The sequence below is a fragment of the Homo sapiens genome, chromosome 1, assembly GCF_000001405.40.
Source record: "Homo sapiens chromosome 1, GRCh38.p14 Primary Assembly".
Lineage (NCBI taxonomy): Eukaryota > Metazoa > Chordata > Mammalia > Primates > Hominidae > Homo > Homo sapiens.
In genome coordinates, this window is record NC_000001.11 from 53086444 (window position 1) to 53107121 (window position 20678).

Below are 20678 nucleotides of genomic sequence, written 5' to 3' on the forward strand. Positions count from 1 at the left end.
GAATGGGGCAGTGGGAGCAGGTGCCCTCTTGACGCTGAGTGACCTGGGGGAGGCCTGTCCCCTCCCTGGGCCTTAGTGTCTTCAAGGGCATCATGGTGCAAGCCCCTCCAGACCCCAGAGCTGTATCTTCTCCCCAAGGCATATCTGGAACAGGCTGTGTTGCCAGGGCCCTTCTGTGTGCCCTGCAGGCCTCCTGGAGGCAGCCTGGGGTGTGAGAATGAGGGAGACCATCTGGAAATGTCCCTGGGCACGCCCCTGTCTAAAGCAAAGCATTCACCACGGGGAGCCAGACTGGGAAGGAAATCTGTTTCTTCTTTGGGGACTGATCTCAAGGCCCTGCCTGCAGAGCAGAGCCTAGACCATGGCAGAGAGGTCTGTCCACACTGGACGATGCCCAGCTGCCCTGTGGTTATTGAGACAGGCTCCTGGGTAGGCTAGCTTATACTCTGTCTTCTGCATGTGACAGCTCAGATAGGACTGTCCTTACTGCAGCCACCAGGACAGGCTTCTCTGCACTCTGGCTGCCCATACAGGCCTGTCCACACACTGGCAGCCTAGACAGACCTGTCTACACTCCAGCCAAATGGACAAGCCTGTTAGATTCTGGCCACCTGCATAGGCCCGCCCATATCCTGGCTGCCCAGACAGGCCCGTCTGCACTCTGGCCGCCTGTATTAATTAGCCCAGTAGCTAATATCATATTTGCTGGCTAGCATAAGGTGTTGAAGCCCACAAGAAGTGAAAAACAAAATACCTTTATTTAGTTAACACTGAATTTGCAAACACAGAAAGGAATAGAAAACCTGACTCCACTTGGACGCACAGGCCTTTGGGGAGTTCTGACACCAGGGCCCCATCGGCAGCTCCACCAGAGCATCCTGGCTGCACCTCCTTCCCGGAGTCCTGGCTTGCCTACCTATTCCATGGGAGGTTGGCCTGGATGTGTCAAGGGGGCCTTTCAGCTCTAGTAAAGACATCTGTCTCCACATCCAAGGAGCTTTGCAAAAGACACGTGGCAGGACAGGAGACTGGACGCACTGTGGCCTGGGGAAGGCAGCGGGGCTTGGCCCTGGGCTGCTCCCCTTGGGGAGAACTGTGTGGCTGAGGCCACCTGTTATGGGGTGGGGCCTGGGCCTGGACACAGCTGCAGGCTGCCCTGTCCTCCAAGAGGAGAGGCGGGGCTTGAAAGATTTGAGTTAGTGTCTTGACCTTAACGTGAGACCTTGGACAAGTGTTTTCAGCTCTCAGAGCCTCAAGTCTGTCATCCAGAAAGTGGGGCCGGATAACCCCTGCCTGCCGCCCTCACCGGGCTCACACCGGGGAAACTGTCACAGCGGGGCCTCAGGCAATGCCGGGCCCATCACTCCCTAGATGGGGCTCCCCCATGCAGCCTTTCCCTTCTCTGAGATACATTTTCCGTCAAGCGGGGTTAATTCCAGCCTCTCAAGGGTGAGAAGAATGTGTGATCCTGGCCCCTGCCGGCTGCTCAGGAGGGTTGGAGAGTCGAGTTCCTGCCTCAGGACCCTGCCCCTGGAGGCCTCGCCTGCCCCTGCAGCTCCGCAGGCTCAGACATTGGTCTCCAGCTCACTGATCTGGATGGTGCAGTGGTTCAGACTCGCAGCGGGCAGCTCCTCATCCTGCTCCACTTGAACGGGGACGTGGTGGGGGCAGGTGGGGCCCAGGGTGAGCTCGGAGGCCTCGGCTACACTCTTCACACAGCCATTCTGCTGGGCTGCCACGATCTCCTGGAGGCTCACTGGCTTGGTCTCGCAGGGCAGCAGTTTCTGGTGAAGGGAAACAGGTCTTTGTAGCAGCAGGAGGGACCAAGGTTAGATACGAGGGAGGACTGAGGGCCAGTGGGGCAGAATGAGCTCAGGGCTAGGAACCACAAGATGGATTTTCCTGCAGACACGCTGTGTGACCTCGGCAGGTCACGGCCTCCCTGGGCTCCTGTTCCCAAGCGTCCTGCCTCCCACTGGAGCTGGCTTAGTAGAGGAGGGGACTTAATCCACAGGGTCCATCTGGGGAATTGGTGGATCCCCTGCCTGACCTCAGCTTCTTCCCCATGATGTGGGGACAGCCTTCTCCATTTGCCTGTAGAAGGAGCCTGAAGCCCACACAGCCTGCACAGACCTACAAATGCTCACATGTTGGCTAAACTGGACAGACCATCCCGACACGAGGGCGGGGAATTTTATCATATCTTGTTCTACTGTTCCTCCTGTGTCTATATCAGCGCCAGCCACAGCGGGTGCTCAATAAATAGATGTTAGAGGAATCAGTCATTCTGTAACGGATGAGGAGACCGAGGCCCAGAGGCATGGAGGGAGGGATTGGCTGGAGGCTGCCGAGCTGGTTGGTGGAAGATCTGGTGCCCTGCCCACCCTGCGTGGCTCCACCCTCCTGGCAGCCTCTGGATCTCACTGCTCTCACCTCGGTGCCTGTGTCCCGGGCAAAATCCTTCCGACATATATGGGCCATGATCCCCGCTGCCAGCGCATCACCCAGCACGTTAATCATGGTGCGGAAACGGTCCCTGGTGAGCCAAGGTTGGGGGTGAGTGGTGGGCACTTGAAGGGGAGCTGGAAGAGGGCAGTGCTCAACCCAGCACAGTACAGCACGGCCGGTGACCAGCTGTCATGCAAAGCCTGCAGCCAGATGGCTTCCTGGCTCCTCCCAAGCCCACCCTTTGGCATCATTGAAGCAGCTTCTTGGCATGCAGCTGTGGGTTCCACAGGTCCCCATGCTTAGAAGGGTTAGGTTTGGTTTAATCCTCTGCTGTTTCTGTCTTGAAATTCTTTATAGGTTTGTTTTTTGTTTGTTTGTTTGTTTGTTTTTTGAGACAGAGTCTTGCTCTGTCACTCAGGCTGGAGTGCAGTGGCGCCATCTCGGCTTACTGAAACCTCCATCTCCCAGGTTCAGGTAATTCTCGTGCCTCAGCCACCTGAATAGCTGGGATTACAGGCACATGTCACCAGTCCCAGCTAATTTTTTCTTTTCTAATTTTTAGTAGAGATGGGGATTTTACTGTGTTGCCCAGGCTGGGCTCTGGAATTCCTGGGCTCAAGGAATGCTCCTGCCATGGCCTCTCAAAGTTCTGGGACATATAGGCGTGAGTCATCATGCCTGGCCTTTACAGTTTTTGGACTGGGTTCCACATTTTCATTTTTGAACACTGGACCCCACAAATTATGCAGCCAGGCCTGTGCTAATGAGTAGGGCACTCCCACAGTGCCAAGCGGGGCAGTCCCCAGCCTTCTACCCTGGGGAAGGGACTCAGCCGCTCACCCTGATCCCTGCTGACCCTGAAGTCAGCCCCTCCCAGAGGGCTAGAGCTAGAGGCAAAGTCCACTCACAGAGCCCAGTCAACGGCAATGATGAGGGTGATGTCATCGGTGGGCAGTCCCACGGAGGTGAGCACGATGACCATGGTGACGAGGCCGGCCTGGGGGATGCCAGCTGCCCCAATGCTGGCTGCAGTGGCTGTGATACTGCAGGGGGTGGGAAGGGGAAGAGGAGCAGCAGGAGGGGCAGGGTGCATTGTCAGGGTCTGGCTCCAAGGAAGAGGTTGAGTGTCAGGGCCTCTGGGACAGCCATTTGGTGCGGGGGGTGGGTAGGAATGCCACACCAGGGAGCTCTCGGGGTCAAGTCCCTCCTCACAGTCCTGAAGCCCCATGGACCCCCATTCCTGGCCTCAGGAGAATCCCTGGGAACTGTGCAAACACCTGTGTCTGGAGCTGTGCCTCTGTGGGTTCCAGGAAGCTATATTGCTATGGGGCTGCCCAGGGACTCTGACTGACCACCACATGGCTCTGCCTGCCTGCCTCTGGGGCCTGGCCTCCAGGGTCAGACCTGTGTGCTTGGCTGGGCTGTGAGGCCTCCGTCAGCCTCAGCCGCATCCCAGCACCCCTTCGTTGGCTCCTGCCACACGGGCGGCCTCTCCAAGGTCCTGAGTCCTGTCCCTGGCCTCCGCTCGCCCTGTGGCCACCAGCAATGCCCTCCCTCCCGGGCTGTCCTCCAGGCTCGGAGCTCCCAGCCCTGGCCCTCTGCCTGCTGTGCTCCGAGCCCAGGCTCGCTCGCTTCAGATACCCCTCAAGTCTGGGAGCCTGGGAATCCCCAAGGCCCCCAGCCCCCGCCCCATCCACCCAGGTGCAGTGTCAGGGTGCACCTGATGGTGATGATCTGGCCAAAGTCCAGCTCGTAGTTGTTGACCTGGGCGATGAAGATGGCGGCCACAGCCTCGTAGAGCGCAGTGCCGTCCATGTTGATGGTGGCACCCACGGGCAGCACGAAGCGAGCGATGCGCCGGTCGATGTGGTTGTTCTCCAGCAGGCACTTGAAGGTGATGGGCAGTGTGGCTGAGCTACGGTTAGAGGGGCCGGTGTCTGCCCAGCACCCTCCTCCAGGATGGCTGGGGCCTCTGTCGGGAAGCTCACCCCTCCCCAGGCAGCCACCCCGCCAGGAGTGTTTGTGCCTCTGCAGCGCTGCTCCGGCAGGAGGTAAGGACCGCGGGCACTGCAGTGCTCTCACTTGGTTCTTCCTATGAGGGAGGTGTTTGGGTGCATTTTACAGATGAGGAAGCTGACGCCCAGAGGGCGGGGCTGACCCATGTCACACTGCTGTGCCGAGGGATATGGAGGTCTGAGCAGCAGGGCCCTGGGCCAGGCTGTCTGGGCTTAGATTCCAGCCTCCTGTCAAGTGGTCCTGGCAAGTTCCTGAACCCTGTGCCTCAGCATCTTTGTCCCAAAAAGACCTGGGTCACAGAGCTACTAGGAGGATTAAACGACTACGGGCTTGGACAGCACCTGGCCCATTGTACCCACTCAGTCAATGGTGACCATGACTATTATTATTACTATGTTTGTCATGAGAGTTCCCAGTGGCAGTGCTGGGACTAAAACAGGCCGGTGTGGCCCCTGTGTCTTCCTCTCCCCCGGGCCTCTGCCTGGAAGGCCGGTTCTACTCGCCAGAGCCTCTCAGGAGCTCCAGACCTGCTGGGCTTGAGGCTGCGGTTCCTGCTGGCAGGAGATGGCCAGGGGGCTGCTGGCTCTGGCTGGCTTGGCCCCTGGCATGGGAGCTGGCATGTTTGGGGCTTTGTCCTGCCCTCTGACCCCCTATCTGCGGGAGGGTGTTCCTGGCAATGGCTCCTGGGCTTTTCTTCACTGGGGTCTGCTCCTGAATCCTGCAGGAGGTGCATCTGCTGCCAGGGGTGGGTGTCATATGACTGCTGGGTACAGAGGCCTGCAGGGCATTTTACAGATGGAAAAACTGAGACCCAAGTGAGGGCTAGAGGGAAGAGTGAGGCCTTCAGTGCCAGAAAGATGTGGCTTAAGTTCCTGCGACTCCCTTAATGTGGAGCTCAGACACTTGCCATGGGGAGAGCCAAACTGCCTTCACAGCACTAGATGCTCCATAAGGGACCACTTCCTTCCTGCCCCCTCCACCAACGACATGGTTTGCACAACTCTAAATTCCTGAGGTCTCTGCACTGGGCTGAGGTTTGGGATCCTTAAGGCCAAGTGCTGGTTCACCTGGCCCAGCCTGGCAAGGAGGGGCTCGACCTCCACTGCAACCCTGTGAGCTGGAAGCTGGAGTCTCCCCCAGTCTGTGCATGAGGAAAGCAATGCCCAGGCACAGCGAGTGAGTGACAGAGCCATGGCTCAAGTCCCTGAGGTCTAGGGACACTGCCAAGGTTGTGACAGGGCACCCAGCCAGGACATCCCAGCGGCAGTGGACAGGCCGAGCTCCTAGAGCAACACAGGGCCCGACTCCAGGAGAAGCACCTTGTGGGGCAAAAGGCAGCAGCAGTGCGTTGCCAATGTGATTTCCCACTGACTCTACTGTGCTGTCTGCCCTGGCGCGTCGAGGCCGCCCCCATGCGGACTCAGTGAGCTTGAGGACTGGGGCCGTGGGGGAAGGAGAGGCCTCGACAAAGGCCAAAAGTCCCCCACGTCAGTCTTGTTACCCCAGCACCAGCCGTCCCCGCATTTGTGAGGTGGGCCACACTGGCGTTTTGGTGGTTCTGTGGCTATGAACCAATGATGGCTGGACAGACGGACAGGGCTCAGCCCCTCCCAGCTCCCCACCGTCCTGCCCGTCCCCGGGGCTACCTGGAGGAGGTGGCCAGCGCGATGAGCAGAGCCTGCAGGATGCCACGGATGAAGACGATGGGATTCTTCTTGGTGATGAAGAAGTAGAGCAGGGGCAGGATAAAGAGCCCGTGGAGCACCAGCCCGCACACCACGGTGACTGAGTAGAAGCCCAGCTTCTTGCCGACGGCCCTGGGGTCGTCCATCTCCAGGATCTTACCCGCAATGAGGAACACAATGCCGAAGGGGAAATACCTGGGGGCGGCGGGGCAGCCAGGCTCAGGAACCAGGCAGGCAGACACACCCCGGCCCCAGCCCCGCATCGCTGCGCGGCCTTCCCCCTGAGCTTCCTGGGGCTCCTGCGAGGACAGAGCGAGACTGCCAAGGTGCCCGGCCCAGGCTCAGCACATGGCGTCCTTCATACCGTTACTTCCACCGCCCCAGCTCCAGACAACCTCTGCCACTCCTTCCCCCGCCCTGCCTTCAGGAGGCCCCCATTTCAGGCCCAACAACGCCAGAGTCTACACAGTGCGCCTGGGCAGCCCTCCCTCTGCGTTCCCCACTGAGCTCCTGGACTCTGAACTGTGGGCCGAGGACTCTGAACTGTGGGCTAGTCCTTACCGCCAGCTTTCCTTTCTCCAAAAGCTGAGCTGATAAGGCTCCATGTGATGGAGAAACTGAGCCCAGGAGAGCAGCAGAGCCGGGCAGAGCTCTTAGACCAGGCTGGAAGGGGCAGGCCCAGGGCCGGAGCCAGGCCTGGCTGGGGCTGGGGGACCCATGGAAACACATGTAGCTCCGGAGGCCCCGGCCCAGGGCTGAGCCTGGGCACAGCTTTCTGCTCACTTTACGGGAGAAGAGGGTGGGGTCTTGTCTTCCCTCCATCCACCCAGGGCTGGCCGGGGTGAGGTGGGTAAATGAGGAGGCTTACCACACAGCCACCGCCACGATCTTCATGACCGACTCATTGAGGCACTGGCAGAAGCTGACCAGGGGGGCCCCGCTGTCACCCATGCGGCCCAGCATGATGCCTGCGGGTCAGGGACACAGTGCTGTGGTAAAGCAGGGACAGACCCACAGGCCCACATGGGTCTCAGCATGGCTGGCTTCCCAGCAGCCTTGATGCTCCAGCACTCCCCCCACTCCCCCCACTCTCTCTCTCCCTCTCTCCTCCTCCACTCTACTACCGATCCCACAGTGCTCTCACGTCCTCCTCTCTCACCTTCCTCCACGCAGCAGCCAATGTCACCTCCTCAGGATAAAAGTGCTCCCTGCCAAGTGCACCCCTGGCTTCGCTGTGCGCTTAGGCCATGACAAGCTCCCCGCTGCCTCACCCAGCTCGATGCCTCAGCCCCACTCGAGTGGGCCCTGCCTGCCTCTCCCTCCTGCTCCTGCCCATCTCACTGTGCCCTGGCACCACTGGCCTTCTTTAAGTTTCTGGAAGGAGGGAGTCCAGCTCTTCACTGCCTCAGGGCCTTTGCGCAAGCCGTTTACACAGTGCCCCAGGCACTGGCTGCCCGCTCTCCAAACAGCTTGGAAGCCATCCCCGATCCCCTTTGCAAACTCCCATTTATTCTTCAATATCTCACCTCTTAGGGCCTATTACAACATAACTGTCTGGGTTTTTTCCCGTCTCCTCTGCGAGGTTAGCTCAGCGAGAGCAAGAACTGCATCTCCTTAGCTGGAGCATGTTAGACGCACAGTGGTCAATGGTGAGTGAGGACTAGGGCCTTTCCTGATGCTCCTGGCGCCTCCCCCGGCATTCTAGGCCTTCCTCCCCAGCTCGCACACACCAGGAAAGGGTGGTGTGGGAACGGCTCCGTGGGGTGAGCTCTGTCAGGCCAGTCCTGAAACAGGGACTGAGTGGCTGCCCTACCTCCTGGTGAGACCGACGTGGGGAGCAGAGCACTCTCTACAGCTGCCCTCATGAGGCCCACTGTCATGGTGCTGGGGCTCAGCTAGGGAGGCAGGGTGGGATTCAAACCCTGGCCTGTGGGACACCAGAGAAGGGCTCTTTCCCTGTCCTGAGAAGCCTGAGCCACACAGTCCATGGAGCAGCTACCCCGTGGTGACGGAGTGAGGTGAGGGCCCTGCCAGGGTGGGTAGGAGAGGCTGGAGTTGGAGGTGACCCTGGGCCTACCCCGCCCGCCTGTCTTCCTGCCGCCTGGCTGATGCAGACCCAGACTCCCCTGCCGGCTCCGCCCTCCCCGGGCTCCACCACCACCACGCACGGGCTTCCTGCCCCTCCTCAGGCCCATTTGGATTTTCCCAGGGGCATCCGAGGACTGGCTGCTGGGAGCCAGTGTGCATGGAACCCTAGTGTGGCACGGGGGCTCCCTCACGGCAGGGCCAGCAGGACCTTAGCACCAGCCACATCCCAGGGATGGGGTGGGGAAAGGAGGCTGGGTTGAGGGAACCAAAGAAAGCCCTGCTCGGAGCCGCTGTGCTAGTGTGCTCACTCACACACGCGGGCAGACACTGGTATCTGCACCAACAGGCACAGGCACCGGCAGATGTGGACACTGACAGGCACAGGCACACACAGAAGCAGGTGCACACAGACACAGGCACGGAAAGACCAGGCACACGCTGATGCGGGGACACAGGAATGCAGCTGCACCCAGACATGAGCACAGGCAGATGTGGGCACACGCAGGCATGAGCACACACAGACGCAGGTGCACATAGACACAGGCACAGGTAAGCCAGGCGCATGCTGATGGGGGAACACAGGGACACAGGTGCACACAGACACAGGCACGGAGAGGCCAGGCACACACTGATGCAGGGACACAGAGATGCACGTGCACACAGACACAGGCACTGGCAGATGTGGGCACATAAAGGCATGAGCATACACAGTAAGCCACACCCTGCCTTGGTACACTCACACACCCTGCCTTGGTACACTCACACACCCCGCCTTGGTACACTCACACACCTTGCCTCAGTACATTCACACCGCCTCGGTACACTCACACACTCTGCCTCGTTACACTCACACCGCCTCGGTACACTCAACTCGCCTTGGTACACTCACCCTGCCTCGATACACTCACACACCCCGCCTCGTTACACACACACTGCCTTGGTACACTTAAACCCGCCTCAGTACACTCACACAACCTGCCTAGGTACACTCACACACCCCAGCTCAATACACTCACACACCCTGCCTCGGTACACACACACAACTTGCCTCGGTACACTCAACTGCCTCGGTACACTCACTCCACCTTGTTACACTCACACACCCCACCTCGGTACATTCACCCCGACTTGGTACACTCACACACACTGCCTCGGTACACTCACACACACCACCTCAGTACACTCACACCACCTTGGTACATTCACATCGCCTCGGTACACTCACACAACCCGCCTCGGTACACTCACACAAACTGCCTTGGTACAGTCACACCACCTCGGTGCATTCACACACACCACCTTGGTACACACACACCCCGCCTCAGTACACTCACTCCACCTCAGTACACTCACACAACTCGCCTCGGTACACTCAACTGCCTCAGTACACTCACACTGCCTTGGTATGCTCACACCCCCCCACCTCATTACACTCACACACCCCACCTCAGTACATTCACCCCGCCTTGGTACACTCACACACACCACCTCGGTACACCCACATGCCCCACGTTGTTACTTTCACGCGCCTAGCCTCGATACACTCACACACCCTGCCTTGGTACACTCAAACCATGCATCTGTACACTCACACACACCGACTCGGTACACTCACACTGTCTCGGTAAACTCACCCCATCTTGGTACACTCACACACCCTGTCTCAGTACACTCACACCACCTTGGTACACTCACACATCCCGCCTAGGTACACTCACACGCCTCGCCTCGGTACACTCACACACCCTGCCTCGGTACACTCACACACCTTGCTTCATTACAATTACACACCCCACCTTAGCACACTCACACACTCCACCTCGGTACACTCACACGCACATAAACCCCAGCTCAGTACACTCACACCCCATGCCTCAGTACACTCACACACTCCACTTCGATACACTCACACACCCTGCCTTGGTAAACTTACACACCACTTCAGTACACATACCACTTCGGTACACTCACACATCCACACACACTGCCTCAGTACACACACACACCGCCTCAATACACTCACACACAGTGCCTTGGTACACTCACATACCCCGCCTTGATACATTCACACACCCAGCCTTGGTACACTCACAGATACTGCCTCAGAACATTGACACACCCTGCCTCAATACACTCACAGATACCACCTCAGAACACTCACACACCCTGCCTCAGTACGCTCACTTTGCCTCGATACACTCACACGACCTGCCTCGGTACACTCACACACACCCCCTCAGTACACTCACATACACCACCTCGGTACACTCACATAACCTGCCTCGGTACACTCACACACCCCGCCTCAGTACACTCACACAACCCACCTTGGTACCCTCACACACACTGTCTTGGTGCACTCAACCTGCCTCGGTACAATCACACGCACTGCCTCAGTACGCTCACACACACTGCCTCGGCACACTCACAGAACCCGCCTCAGTACACCTACACGCCCCGCCTTGGTAGACTCACATGCCCCACCTCAGTACACTCACAGATACCACCTCAGAACATTCACACACCCTGCCTCAGTACACTCACGCACCCTGCCTCGGTACACTCATTTTTTCTCGGTACACTCACACACCCCGCCTTGGTACACTCACACAACCCACCTCGGTACCCTCACACACTGCCTTGGTGCACTCACACAACCTGCCTCCGTGTACTCACACACACCCCCTCGGTACACTCACACACACTGCCTCGGAACACTCACACAACCCACCTTGGTACAATCACACACACCACCTCGGTACACTCACACACAGTGCCTTGGCACACTCAGAACCTGCCTCAGTACACTCACACACCCCACCTCGGTACACTCACACACCCTGCCTTGGTACAATCACAAAACCCGCCTTGGTACAATCACACACACCACCTTGGCACACTCACACATACTGCCTCGGTACACTCAAACACCTCGCCTCGGTACACTCACAAACCCTGCCTCCAAGCACTCACACATCCCACCTCAGTACACTCGCTCTGCCTCAGTACACTCATACAACCCACCACAGTACACCCACACCACCTGCCTTGGTACAGTCACACACAGTGCCTTGGTACACTCACACACAGCACCTCAGTACACTCACACACACCGCCTCAGTACACTCACACACTCCGCCTCAGTACATTCACACAACCCACCTTGGTACTATCACAAATACTGCATCGGTACACTCACACACCCTTGCTTCAATACACTCACACACCCCCACCTTGGTATACTCACCCCACCTCGGTACACTCACACACCATGCCTCGGTACACTCACACACCACAACTCGGTACACTCACACCACCTCGGTACACTCACAAACCCTGCCTCGGTACACTCACATACCCTGCCTCCGTACACTCACACATTTTGCCTTGGTACACTCACACACCCTACCTTGGTACACTCACTTTGCCTCGGTACACTCACACCTCAGTACACACACCACGTCTTGGTAAACTCACACACCCCGCCTCTGTACACTCACATGCACTGCCTCAATACACAAACATGCCCCACCTTGGTACACTCACATGCCCCGCCTCAGTATACTCACCCTGCCTCGGTACACTCACACTGCCTTGGTAGGCTCACACACCCTGTCTCGGTACACACACACACTCCACTCGTACCAAAACCCGCCTTGCTACACTCACACACCCCACCTTGGTACACACATACGGTCACACCACCTTGGTACACTCACACACTCCACCTTGTTACACTCACACCGCCTCAGTACACTCACACACCCTGCCTTGGTACACTCACCCTGCCTCAATGCATTCACACATCACCCTTGTTACACTCAAACTGCCTCAGAACACTCATATGCCCTGCCTCAGTACACTCACACCATCCACCTCAGCATACTCACACACCCTGCCTCGGTACACACATACACACCGCCTCAGTACACTCACACATACCACCTCAGTACGTTCACACACACCACCTCGGTACACTCACTCTGCCTGAGTACACTCATACCACCTCAGTACACTCACATAACTGGCCTCGGTACACTCACACATACCGCCTCGATACACTCACATTGCCTCAGTACACTCACACAACTTTCTTCGGTACAGTCACACAACCTGCTTCAGTACACTCACACACCCTGCCTTGGTACACTCACACCGCCTTGGTACACTTACACACTCTGCCTCATTACACTCACACTGCCTCGGTACACCCACACCACCGTAGTACACTCATTCCACCTCATTACACTCACACTGCCTTGGTACACTCACATACCCTGCCTCAGTACACTCATCCTGCCTCGCACTCACACACCACCTCTCATTACACTTATACTGCCTCAAAACACTCACACCCTGCCTCTGTACACTCACAACCCACCTCTGTACACTCACACACCCCGCCTCGGTACATGCACACATACCGCCTCGGTAGGCTCACACATACCATCTCGGTACAGACACACGCTGCCTCGGTACACTCACAGAGTCTTGGTACACTCACATAACCTGCCTTGGTACACTCATACACACCGCCTCAGTACACTCACACACCGCCTCGGTACACTCACACTGCCTCAGTACCTCACATACCGTCTCGGTACACACACATACCCCGCCTTGATAGACTGACACACACCACCTCGGTACGCTCACACTGCCTCAGTACCTCACATACCGCCTCGGTACACACACATACCCTGCCTTGATAGACTGACACACACCACCTCAGTACGCTCACACAGCCCGCCTCGGTATACTCACACAACCTGCCTCGGTACACTCACACACCTCGCCTCAGTACACTCAACCGCCTCAGTACACTCACTCACACCACCTTGGTACACTCACACACCCCACCACAATACCCTCACTTTGCCTCGGTACACTGACACATACCACCTCAGTACACTCATACCCATTGCCTCAGTATACTCACACCACCTTGGTACACTCACACACCCCGTCTGAGTACACTCACACACCTTGCCTCAGTACACTCACACTGCCTCGGTACACTCACACACACCACCTCGGTACACTCACACCCCTCCTTGTTACACACACACCTTACCTTGGCACACACCCTGTCTCAGTACACACACACACCATCTCGGTACACTTACACACCCCACCTTGGTACACTCACACACCCTGCCTCAGTACACTCACACATACCACCTTGGTACACTCGCATTGCCTTGGTACATTCACACACCCCAACTCAGTACACTCAGAAACCATGCCTCTGTACATTCACACACCACACCACCTCGTTATACTCACACCATCTCAGTACACTCACACACTCCATCTGAGTACACTCACACACCTTGTCTTGGTACACTCACACCACCTTGGTACACACACACCTTGCCTCTCTGTACACTCACACACCCCCACCTTGATACCTTCACATACACCACCTCGACACACTCATACACCCCGCCTCAGAACACTCACACATCCACATACACCCACACACACCACCTCAGTACATTCACACACCCCACCTTGGTATACTCACACACCCCACCTTGGTACACTCATACAACCTGCCTCGCTACACTCACACGCACCGCCTCGGTACACTTGCACACCCAACCTTGGTACACTCACACACACCGCCTCAGTACACATACACACCCCGCCTCAGTACACTCACACAACCCAACTCAGTACACTCACACGCCCCACCTCGGTACACTCACACACCCCGCCTCAGTACACTCACACGTCTTGTTTCAGTACACTCACACGTCCCACCTCGGTCCACTCATACACACTGCCTTGGTGCACTCACAAACGCTGCCTCGGTACATTCACACACACCACCTCGGTACACTCGCACACCCAACCTTGGTATACTCACACACACTGCCTCAATACACATACACATACCACCTCAGTACACTCACACAACCTGCCTCGGTACACTCACACAACCCGTCTCGGTACACTCACACACCTTTCCTCGGTACACTCACACGACTTGCCTCGGTACACTCACATGCCTTGCCTGTGTACACTCATACATACCACCTCGGTACACTCACACACATTGCCTTGGTACACTCACACACTGCCTTGGTATACTCACACACTTTGCTTCAGTACGCTCACACACCCGCCTCAGTACACTCACATCACCTCGGTACACTGCCATACCCCGCCTCAGTACACTCACACACTTTGCCTTGGTACACTCAGACTGCCTCAATACATTCACACACCCCACCTCAGTCCACTCACACACCCTGCACCGGTACACTCCCACACCGCACCTTGGTCCACTCACACACACCACCTCAGTCCACTCAGATACCCTGCCTTTGTCCACTCACACACCCCACCTTGGTACATTCACAAAACCCGCCTCGGTACACTCACACACACCACCTTGGTACACTCACACACACCACCTCGTTACACTCACACACACTGCCGCAGTACACTCACACACCCCGCCTCAGTACACTTACACACCCTGCCTCGGAACACTCACACAAATCGTCTTGGTACTCTCACACTGCCTTGGTACACTCACATACCCACACGCACTGCCTCGGTACACTCACACACCCCACCTCGGTACACTCGCACACCCCACCTCGGTACACTCGCACACCCCACCTCGGTACACTCACACACCCCTCCTCGGTACACTCGCACACCCCGCTTTGGTACACTCACACACACTGCCCCATTACACTCACACACACTGCCTTGTTACACTCACACTGCCTCAGGACACTCACACATCTCACAACGGTACACTCACACCACCTCGAAACACCCACACACACCACCTCGGTACACTCACACACCCTGCCTCAGTACACTCACCCTGACTCGTCACACTCACTCACCCTGCCTCGGTACACCCATGCCTACTCGGTACACTCACACAACCCGCCTCAGTACACTCACACACCCCACCTCAGTACACTCACACACCTTGCCTCGGTACACTCACACTCCTCATCTTGGTACACTCACAAACCATGTCTCGGTACACTCACACCAGCTTGGTACACTCACACAGTGTCAGTACACTCATACACCCTGCCTCAGTACACTCACACACCCTGCCTCGGTACACTCACACACCCTACCTTGGTACACTTACACACCGCCTCGGTACACTCACACGCACACTCAGTACACTCACACGCCCGCCTCGGTACACTCACACTCTTTGTCTTGGTACACTCACATGTCCCACCTCAGTACACTCACACGCCCTGCCTCGGTACCCTCATACGACCTGCCTCAGTACACTCACACAAATGTTCACAGATGCACGGACAGTTACACATGCGCAGCGAACGCTCAGCGAGTTGAGTCCAAGGGTCTCCGGTTCTTTTGTTCTGCCAGTAGATGCCCTTCTCTTATGTTCCCAGCCCTGAGAAAGGCTGAGTTTGGGGACTGCTTGTCAGATGTGCCGAGAGGCACTTTCAGACATTTTCGTTTCACACACTTGGGTCACCGAGGCCCCGGCCCCTCTGCACACCTGGCGTTTTGGCCCAGATGAGAAGAGCTCCATTACCCATTGTCACCCAGCCGTCCACCCATCTCCCTACCAGGTCTGCTGAGTGCCTGCTGTAGCCACGGCAGCGGTGGGCTCTGGGGTGGATGGAGACAAGCCCGTCAGCCTGTATGGGGCTGGTCATGGCTGTGCAGACAGCAAGCAATGATATCCTTGCAATCGAGTCTAGTGCTCACAGAGTAACCAGGCAGTGTAGCTCGGGGCACTCGGCCTAGTCTGCGGAGGACTCTCCTGAGGGCATGGCACTTGTGGGGAGCACCCTGAAGATGACAAACGTGGAGGGGGAGTGGCAAGAGCAGCCGGGCTGAGGGTTGTGCGGAGAGGAGCACACGGGCCAGTCTCACGGGGCTTTTCAGCCGGCACTAGGGGTTCGGCCCCTTTCCAGGGGCAATGGGCAGAGCACGGTCAGACTTGTGACCTCCTGAGCTGGACACACCAGCAGGGACAGCCGTGGAAGTTTTCTAGGCAGCTTTCACAGGAACCAGGCGAGAGACCACACGGCCTTGACCCGGGCAGTGACGCGGGGTAGAAGGAAACGCACGGCTTGGAGGGGACTTTGGGGGCAGACCCGACCGGATGCAAAGGTGGGGGCCAAGGCAGAGGACGAGGTAGAAAGTCACCCCTAGAGTTTTTGCATGAACGAGGTTGGTGAGGTCTTTTCCTTGACAAGAAAACCCAGTGGAGGAGTCGGGGATGGCAGGCAGGACATTTCCACAGGCTTTGTGGGGTCTGAAGCTTGTATAATTTGGGACCCATCTTTAAGAAAAATAACACAAAATTTAAAAACCAAGGTGCGGGCCTCCAAGGGGCTTGCATAGGTGAGGGGCCTGGCATCCCAGAGGAGGGCAGCAAAGGGAAGGGTGTGGCAGGGATGCCAGCTGCGGGCCTAAGAAATGGCCCAGACGGGCCTGAGGGGGAGGTGCCAGGGGGAAGCCCCTGGGGTGGGGTGGGGAGGCGAAGGATTTAAATAAACAGGTGTGGTGAATATTTCCAGTTTTTCACAGTAAACCTCTCCAGCATTCTCCCCAGACCTCAGTAAGAGGTGGAGGAGCAGGCTGCTGGGAGGGGCTGGGGGCCCGGCTCCACGGCACTGCTGGGCAGGTGGGCAGCACATACCCATGGTGGCAGAGAAGAAGACGATGCCCAGCACATTCATGCCATCGCTGGTGCCCGGCTCTGACTTGTAAACGACCTCGGGCGGCGGGGTCAGGTCCAGGGCGAAGTTCTGCACATGGGAGCCATTCTCCTCCTGGACCCCGTAGATGAGGATCCGCCGAGGAGGGGCCTCCTCTGGTGCCACCTTGGGGGACTTGACAACTGGGGTGGTCTTGGTGCGGTACTGGTGGGTGACACCCCACCCAGAGAGAAGTCAGGGCCAAGGGTTGTTACTAATATTAACGACAACAATAATAGCATCTTGAAGGCACATTTGTATCCATTCCTATCCTATTTGATTGACAGTAACCCTGTGAGGCAGGCAGAGCAGGGATTGCTATCAATATTTTACCCAAAGAAAGCTGCAACTCCTTCCTCTACCACCACACCACCCAGCCACGCTGCCTCCTGCCTTCATTCCTCTTCTTACTTCTATACCTCATCACCCCATCTGGGTCCCTCTTAACTGCCTGCCCAGCCCCTTATCCACCCAAGTAACCCTTTATCCACCCATCTGTCCCCTCCCAATCATCCAGTATCCATCCACCTGGTGGCCTGCTGGCCCTGCTGCCCACCAGGTGGAAACTTGGACCTTCTTTTTGAAGAAGCATAGCCTGCCCCAAGCCTTGTTAATGAGATGAAGCCCATGCACAAGAAAATGACCTTCCTGAGCCACGTACCTTTCCCTCTCTGCCCCCAGAGCATTCATGGGTCTCACCCCATCATCCCTCAGGTACTGGGAGCCCAAAAAGGGAGCCTCCTCTCCCCTCAAACATCACTGCATCGATAAGGCCAACCACTCAGGAAACATATGAGACCTGAAGTCTCTGCTTCCTTTTCCTCCTCTGTAAAATGGGACCGTGATAGCATCTACTGCATGAAATGAAATGAGACGATGTATATAAAGTGCTTACAACAGTTCCTGGTACATGTTAAGCCCCATGGAAGCATTACTGCTACCATCATCGTCATCATCACGTTGAACACTCTGTGCTGGTTGCTGGAGATACACAAATGAACCTGACATGATTTCTGCCTTGCGGAGGGAGTGACTAATTGGCTGAAAGAGTTAGCTTCACAAAGAAGGGGACATTTGACTTGAGTCCTGAAGGATGGGTAGGAGTTTGCCAAAAGAGAAAGGGCATTCCAGAGAGTTACAGAGTAGAGCAACATTCTTTCTCTTTATCTCTCACACCCTCAATGATTCCCAATTACAATAGAAACTCCCTAGCCTAGCATTCAGTCCCCTTCACAATCTGGCTTATTTCATGGATGTCAGGAGAGACGCGGCGATATGCCAAAGCTTTCACAGCTCCCTATTCAGAAGCCTCCTCTCTATACCTCAGCCACTTCCTTTGTGTCCCCAGGCTCAACACAGGGCCCAGCCCAGGAAAGGGGTTCAGGAAACCCTTGCTGGATTAAGTCAACCAACCAGCTGACAGTTTAGAAAGGGAAAAAGAATTGGAAATTATTCAAAGGGCAGGCAAAGACTGAGCACAAGGACATTCACCACAATTTCGACGAAGGAAAAACTTTGAAAACAACCTAAGGGAACACTGAAAGGGGGAGTGGGAAATAAATTACAGCGCAGCCTTATCACAGGCCATTGTAGTACCACTAAACATTGTACTTTTAAGAAATATTTCATAACCGGGGAAAATGCTCAGGATATAATGGAAGTGAAAAAAAGCAAGATGAAAACTGTATATGCACTATGATTATAATATTATTTAAAAATAAGCAGAAGAAAAAAGACCAGAAATATATCCTCTGCTACCAGGGACTATGTACTAGAACTAGAGATGATTTTTGTTTTCTACTTTATATTGTTTGGTATTTTCCTAATTTTCTACAGTGAACATCATTATTATTCTTGTTAGGGGAAAAATGATTACTTTAAAAAGAAAGAGAAAACAGGCTAAGAAGATAGGCCTGGGTTTACCTACTGGCTTTGTCATTTACTAGTGGTATAACCTTGGGCAAATCATTGACTCCTCGGAGCCTCAGTTTCCTCTTCAGGAAGTGGGGCTCATCCTACCTCAGTGCCGAGTTACTGTGTGGATGGGCGAGATGGTGTATGTGGAAGCAGAGCAGGCACTCAGTGAAGGCTTCTCTCCACCCCCACACTTTTTCATCATGAAAACTGGAACCCAGGACAGGGATGTGGCCATGGGGGTCTCTAAGGATCTAGGTTCCCCAGCGTACCCTCCCCTCTAGCATCCCACCTCCAGCAGACAGCGTGACTGGCCAGCACACCTGTCACTTCCCAGCCATGCCACTAGCCCTGCTGCCTGCCCTCCTGCCTGCTGCCCCTTCCCTCCCCTCCACTGCCCAGAGACTCACTCACCTGTTTGAATGTGGCTTCTACTAGGTTGGCTGGGAACATGTTCCTAGGAAGAGAATCAGCAATTGAAAAATTCCAGAGCCCAGGACAGGAGGGCCCTGGGGGTTGTGGCCTTGGGGTCATCTGGACATCTCCTTTGGTGGTCGGGCCTTCCTCAGGCCAGCCTCCTCTGCAGTCTCACCCACTACATCATGGACACTCCACAGCGCCAGCACCTGCCGCCCCCAGACTGTGCCACATACTTTCCAGAGCCAGGCATTTGTCTACACTGTTCCCTCTGCCCGGAATGCCCTGCCTGCCTCTTGGTCTGGTGAACTACTCAAATCTACCACAGATCAAGCACCTCTTCCTCTGTCCAGCCCTCCCTGACTGCCCCACGAGACCCTGCGGCCCTTCTGTGTGTAGGTCGCTGCTGCTCCGCCACACCACCGTGCGGTCACTGGCTCACCTGTCTGCCTCCCCCATATAGTGGCCGCCTTGCAGGTGGGACTTGGTTGTTCATGTCCTATCTGTGGGGCCTAACACGGGACCTCGCACATAGGTGGGCTCATTATTCTTAGTAACATATTTTATTATAAAGCTAAAGGTGGAGGAGTCTTTCCTACTAGATAAAAAACGGTGGCTCACGCCTGTAATCCCAGCACTTTGGGAGGCCAAGGCGGGCGGATCACGAGGTCGGAGATCGAGTCCACGGTGAAACCCCGTCTCTACTAAAAATACAAAAAATTAGCTGGGCACGGTGGCGGGTGCCTGTAGTCCCAGCTACTCAGGAGGCTGAGGCAGGAGAATGGCGTGAACCCGGCGGAGCTTGCAGTGAGCCGAGATCGCGCCACTGCACCCCAGCCTGGGCGGCAGAGCAAGACACCGTCTCAAAAAAAAAAAAAAAGTAACTGTCAAACTGTGATACTGACACAGCAGTCGATGGAAAAGTCCATGTAAGCTGTAGCCTAGAAACAGAAACTAGCACCTCTAAGTGTTTCGTACTTGATAAAAGTTGTTTCACAAATCAGTGAGGAAACGAAGGATTCATTATAGAATGCTGTGCAGCTGACCAACGGTTTGGAAAAAATAGATGTTAGATGCTTACACCAAAATAAATTCCAAAAGGTTTAAAGAAATAAATAAGTCTTTGAAAAATGAAACCAGCTGGGCACAGTAGTTCATGCCTGTAATCCCAGCACTTTGGGAGGCCAAGGTGGGCACATCACCTGAGGTCAGGAGTTTGAGACCAGCCTGGCCAACATGGCGAAACCCCGTCTCTACTAAAAAATACAAAAATTAGCTGAGTGTGGTGGTGCTCGCCTGTAGTCCCAGCTACTCAGGAGGCTGAGGCTGCAGAATTGCTTGAACCCGGGAGGCGGAGGTTGCAGGGAGCTGAGATCGCACCACTGCA

General features: G+C 56.0%; 1 protein-coding gene across 6 annotated transcripts in view, besides 5 other annotated features; it reads right to left on the minus strand.

The window, feature by feature from the left end:
* SLC1A7 (solute carrier family 1 member 7) overlaps window positions 740-20678 on the minus strand; it is a 55456-nt gene continuing 35517 nt past the window's right edge. The window contains exons 4-11 of one of the 6 annotated variants that reach the window (NR_109858.2): window positions 19289-19331; window positions 16903-17125; window positions 7018-7117; window positions 6111-6344; window positions 4169-4335; window positions 3357-3491; window positions 2434-2536; window positions 740-1784 (exon numbers count right to left, since the gene is read on the minus strand). Coding sequence is in view for 5 of the 6 variants with exons in the window: in NM_001287595.2 (NP_001274524.1) it covers window positions 1566-1784; window positions 2434-2536; window positions 3357-3491; window positions 4169-4540; window positions 6111-6344; window positions 7018-7117; window positions 16903-17125; window positions 19289-19331 (1429 nt within the window). In the remaining variant the exon portion in view is untranslated. Of the gene's footprint in view, window positions 1804-2433; window positions 2537-3356; window positions 3492-4168; window positions 4541-6110; window positions 6345-6513; window positions 6654-7017; window positions 7118-16902; window positions 17175-19288; window positions 19332-20678 lie in introns of those variants that run through there. The other 5 variants (NM_001287597.2, NM_006671.6, NM_001287595.2 and 2 more) reach the window with 5 other exon arrangements.
* Window positions 8443-8980: an enhancer, noted in NCBI's record as "H3K4me1 hESC enhancer chr1:53560558-53561095 (GRCh37/hg19 assembly coordinates)". NCBI's record gives its function as "activates a minimal SCP1, AML or CMV promoter by ChIP-STARR-seq in naive and primed H9 embryonic stem cells {active_cell/tissue: H9 hESC(naive and primed)}" and the evidence as "EXISTENCE:reporter gene assay evidence [ECO:0000049][PMID:30033119]".
* Window positions 19004-19505: an enhancer, noted in NCBI's record as "H3K4me1 hESC enhancer chr1:53571119-53571620 (GRCh37/hg19 assembly coordinates)". NCBI's record gives its function as "activates a minimal SCP1, AML or CMV promoter by ChIP-STARR-seq in naive H9 embryonic stem cells {active_cell/tissue: H9 hESC(naive)}" and the evidence as "EXISTENCE:reporter gene assay evidence [ECO:0000049][PMID:30033119]".
* Window positions 19004-20005: a biological region, named in NCBI's record as "H3K4me1 hESC enhancers GRCh37_chr1:53571119-53571620 and GRCh37_chr1:53571621-53572120".
* Window positions 19401-19608: a silencer, noted in NCBI's record as "fragment chr1:53571516-53571723 (GRCh37/hg19 assembly coordinates)". NCBI's record gives its function as "represses an EF-1alpha promoter that drives an FKBP-Casp9 reporter gene in an ReSE screen in K562 erythroleukemia cells {active_cell/tissue: K562}" and the evidence as "EXISTENCE:reporter gene assay evidence [ECO:0000049][PMID:32094911]".
* Window positions 19506-20005: an enhancer, noted in NCBI's record as "H3K4me1 hESC enhancer chr1:53571621-53572120 (GRCh37/hg19 assembly coordinates)". NCBI's record gives its function as "activates a minimal SCP1, AML or CMV promoter by ChIP-STARR-seq in naive H9 embryonic stem cells {active_cell/tissue: H9 hESC(naive)}" and the evidence as "EXISTENCE:reporter gene assay evidence [ECO:0000049][PMID:30033119]".